Consider the following 4,938-nt stretch of genomic DNA (forward strand, 5'->3'; position numbering starts at 1 on the left):
GAGGCCTGAGATCAGGAGTTCGAGACCAGCCTGGCCAATATGGTGAAACCTCTTCTCTACTAAAAATACAAAAAAATAGCCAGGTGTGGTGGCAGGCACCTGTAATCCCCGCTACTCGGGAGTCTGAGGCAGGAGAATTGCTTGAACCCGGGAGGCAGAGGTTGCAGTGAGCCAAGATCGCACCATTGTACTCCAGCCTGGGCAACAGAGCAAGACAACATCTCAAAAAAAAAAACAACTGTATATATATGGATGGTCAATAAAAGATGCTTTCTCTTAATAGTTATCAGATAAATGTAAAGTAAAACAGTGAGATATCATTTAAACTATTTAGATGGGCATAAATATTAAAGATTAATAACATACAGTGCAGACCAATGCATATGTACATATATGGAAAGGGGAGGAAGACCATATCCCCATACAATTTTGGTAGAAAATTTTTATGGAATTTTTAGATGAACCCTTTGAAGCATCTATCAACATTTTACAGTATGCATGTACTTTATGACAACAATTACATTTCCAAAAAGCTATCCCATAGAAACATTCATGCATGTATACAAGTGTTTATAGAAGTATTGTTTATCACAATGGAAAAATGGAAACAACCTAAATGTTCATCAAAAGGGAAATTTAAATAAACTATAGCACCTTTTTAATACAGAAAACTAAGTAGTGGTTTTAAAAAAATAAGGAATTTCAATTCAGGATGGCAGACCAATCATACATACCTACCTCTCACCTGATGAGGCCTCATGATACAGAATTCAGAGGCACAGGAGTGAATAAATCCAAATAAAGCAAGAATGAGGTGGTGGTGCAGGAGAAAGTGGTGACCAACAGATGAGAAATTTCAGTACACTTGCGGGAAACACATACCAGTGGAGAGCACGTTCACCTAATTACGAACATTATGTAAGTGTGGTGAGCTCCAGCAAGTAGGTAGGATGGAGGACAGAAGCCAGGATTGGGGTAAATGGGGAGAACTAACTGTTTGGGTTGGGTCCCTCACTTACTCCTCACCCCCGCAATGGATAATTCAAGAGAACAAGACACATATTTGAAAGTCTCTAACATTATATATATATATATATATATAGTTTGTGTTTTGTTTTGTTTTTTTTTTGAGACAGAGTCTCGCCCTGTCGCCATGCTGGAGTGCAGTGGCACGATCTCGGCTCACTGCAATCTCCGCCTCCCAGATTCAAGCAATTCTCCTGCCTCAGCCTCCTGAGCAGCTGGGATTACAGGCATGTTCCACCACACCCAGTTAATTTTTGTAATTTTAGTAGAGACAGGGTTTCACCATGTTGGCCAGGATGGTCTCCATCTCCTGACCTTGTGATCCCCTGCCTTAGCCTCCCAAAGTGCTGAGATTACAGGCGTGAGCCACTGAGCCCGGCCAAATATATATATATTTTGTACCACAAAACAAAGCCAGGAAAAATGGGGAATTATTATTTAATGGGTACAGGGTTTCATTCGTAGGGCATCAGAATGTGCTATCCCAGGACGCTTGCAGTGGCTCATGCCTGTAATCATAGCACTTTGGGAGGTGGAGGTGGGCAGATTGCATGCCTGTAGTAACAGCTAATCTGGAGGCTCAAGTGGGAGGATCACCTAAGCCCAGGAGGTTGAGGCTGCAGTGAGGCATGATCAAGCCACTGCACTCCAGCCTGGGTAACAAAGTGAGATGTTGTCTCAAAAAAAAGTGTTATCCCGGCTGGGCGTGGTGGCTCACACCTGTAATCCCAGCACTTTGGGAGGCCCAGGTGGACAGATCACAAGGTCAGGGGTTCAAGACCAGCTTGGCCAATATGGTGAAACCCCGTCTCTACCAATAATGTAAAAATTAGCCAGGCATGGTGGTGGGCGCCTATAGTCCCACCTACTCAGGAGGCTGAGGCAGGAGAATCACTTGAACCTGGGAGGCAGAGGTTGCAGTTAGCCGAGATCGTGCCACTGCACTCCAGCCTGGGCGACAGAGCGAGACTCCGTCTCAAAAAAAAAAAGTGTTATCCCAAAACATGTCTTTTGACATAATTATTATTTTGAGCCAAAGACTCAATAATTGAGAAGCAGCAGATGCCAAAAAAGCTCTCTGTCCTCCCCCTCATTTGCCTAAAAGCAGGCTTAGAGGCTTAATCACCTGAGGCTCTTTTTGGCCCAGAGACAGCACCCAAGGGGAATCTGGGTAACAAACCTTGCCAAAACAACAATCTTCCTTCCCAAGTTTCCCTGCACATCTTCACCTTCCCACGGATTGCTGTTTAGAAAAGCCTAGACATCTTTTCCTCTGTCTCATCACTTCTCTAAGAATATATTGTTCTTTGTCAAGATGCAATACAAGCTTATGTCTAACCACCCCTTTGAGTTACTCATCCCTGAGTGCTCCCTGTGTATGCACAGTGCACATGTTAACAAACTTATGTTTGTTTTTGTCTTGTTAATCTGTCTTTTGTCAGTTTAATTTCCAGGGCCCCAGCTGGTAAACCTGGAAGGGTAGGGGAGAAGCTTTTTTCCCTCCCCTCCACAGTTTTGCAAGATGATAAAAGTTCTGTGGGCTGGGCGTGGTGGCTCATGCCTGTAATCTCAGCACTTTCGGAGGCTGAGGTGGGAGGATTGCTTGAGCTCAGGAGTTCAAGACCATCCTGGGCAACACAGCAAAACTCCGTCTCTACAAAAAATACAAAAATTAGCTGGGTGTGGTGGTGTGCGCCTGTAGTTCCAGCTACTTGGGGTACCGAGACAGGAAAATCACTTGAGCCCAGGAGGTAGAGGTTGCACTGAGCCAAGATTGCACCACTGCACTCCAGCCTGTGGAACAGAACAAAACTGTCTCAAAAAAAAAAAAAAAAAAAAAAAAAAAGTGGGGGGGACGTGGGGAGTACAAACTTGTCTGTGTCCTCTGTGCTTCCCATTTCCTCCTATCTGTGGTGGCATGGCTGCAGCTCCGGCAGCTACCTTGGGACCAGAGGGAAGGCAGGCAGGAGACACTGAGACCTCAACCACAGCATCCAGCTGGGAAACTCCAAAAACCACCAGTCCCATGCTGCTTTTTCATAAACCCTTTTAGTTTGAGTCACTATTATTATTATTATCATTACTATTTTGAGACAGAGTCTTGCTCTGTCTCCCAGGCCGGAGTGCACTGGCATGATCTCCGCTCACTGCAACCTCCGCCTCCCAGGTTCAAGCAATTCTCCTGCCTCGCCCTCCCGAGTAGCTGGGACTACAGGTGTGTGCCACCACGCCTGGCTAATTTTTTTATTTTTATTAGAGACAGGGTTTCACCATGTTAGTCAGGATGGTCTCAATCTCCTGACCTCATGATCCCCTTGCCTCGGTCTCCCAAAGTGCTGGGATTACAGGCATGAGCCACCACGCCCGGCCAAGTCACTATTATTTTGTGCTTCCTGTTATATGCAGCCAAAGGCAATCCCTAACTGATGCATTCTTGTTATATCCTATTCCTGTTTCGTTTCCTGACAGCACCTAGCAGAAACCTTTGCAGAGCAGCCTTTTTACAAAGACTTGTTGAGCAAAAGAAATTGACTCAGGATTGTTATAACTTATATCAAACTGAGAACAGCACCACAAAATGCACTGGTGCCCTGAAGACCTCATAAAGGGAAGCAGAAGCCTTCCCCAGGGAGGAACACGAAGAACTAACAACTCTGCATGCTAAGGAAACTTCCATCAGTCTTGTCTAAGGAGGAAGGTGGATAGATGACGTCCTAGCAGATGAGGTAATAAGACAGAGCCTCCACTGTGAATTTATGTGCTTCAGCCCCTTGGGAGGTAAACTGCCTGAAACCAATCAACTTGTGGGCATTAGTGGCAAGGAGCAGGTGACAAATCACCCCCTGCTCATTATAACAGAAGCCAGAATGCCTCAGCTGTCAGGGAGAGAGAGAGGTGTTAACCCCTCACGTCCTCTCCTGCAACGGGGGCACTTCATGGAGACTAGAGAATTATTTCCCTTTATTCTTGGTAGTCAATAACAATCACTTATACCACAAGAGACAAAAGAATTCTTAGCTCTCCTTATTAAAAAGACTATTAAACCGGGCCAGGCACAGTGGCTCACGCCTATAATCCCAGCACTTTGGGGGGCCAAGGCGGGCAGATCATGAGGTCAGGAGTTCGAGACCAGCTTGACCAACATGGTAAAATCCCATCTCTACTAAAAATACAAAAAGTAGCCAGGCGTGGTATCACGCACCTGTAATCCCAGTGACTCAGGAGGCTAAGGCAGGAGAATTGCTTGAACCCGGGAGGCAGAGGTTGCAGTGAGCCAAGATCGGGCCACTGCACTCCAGTCTGAGCAACAGAGCGAGACTCCATCTCAAAAAAAAAAAAAGTGGCCTGGTGTGGAGGCTCATGCTTGTAATCCCAGCACTTTGGGAGGCCAAGGTGGGTGGATCACGAGGTCACGAGTTTGAGACCAGCCTGGCCAGTATGGTGAAAGCCCGTCTCTACTAAAAATACAAATATTAGCCAGGCATAGTGGTACCTGCCTGTAATCCCAGCTACTCGGGAGGCTGAGGCAGGAGAATTCTTGAACCCGGAAGGCAGAGGTTGCAGTCAGCCAAGATAACGCCACTGCACTCCAGCCTGGGACAGAGCAAGACTCTGTCTCAAAAATAAATAAATAAATAAATAAATAAATACTATTAAACCATAAATCACACAGGTCACAGAAGCATAGAACGAATATTCAAGTTGCCTGTCCGCTTTCATTTTCGAGATCAGAAACTTGGGGCTGGAAAAGCTAAATATTTGGCAACTAATTTGGGAACTTAAATTCATGCTTGTAAAGCTCTTAATGTCTAAAAGGAAAATGGATAATATTGATATTCTCATTCACTATCATTGCACTCCCCACCACCCCCAAATGTGGATGCTTAACTGTATTTTGTTTTCTTTGTTGTG

General features: G+C 45.3%; 1 annotated feature.

Moving 5' to 3' along the window:
* Nucleotides 3,024-3,883: an enhancer, noted in NCBI's record as "H3K27ac-H3K4me1 hESC enhancer chr9:90953681-90954540 (GRCh37/hg19 assembly coordinates)". NCBI's record gives its function as "activates a minimal SCP1, AML or CMV promoter by ChIP-STARR-seq in naive H9 embryonic stem cells {active_cell/tissue: H9 hESC(naive)}" and the evidence as "EXISTENCE:reporter gene assay evidence [ECO:0000049][PMID:30033119]".

The sequence above is a fragment of the Homo sapiens genome, chromosome 9 (genome assembly GCF_000001405.40).
Source record: "Homo sapiens chromosome 9, GRCh38.p14 Primary Assembly".
Taxonomy (NCBI): Eukaryota; Metazoa; Chordata; class Mammalia; order Primates; family Hominidae; genus Homo; species Homo sapiens.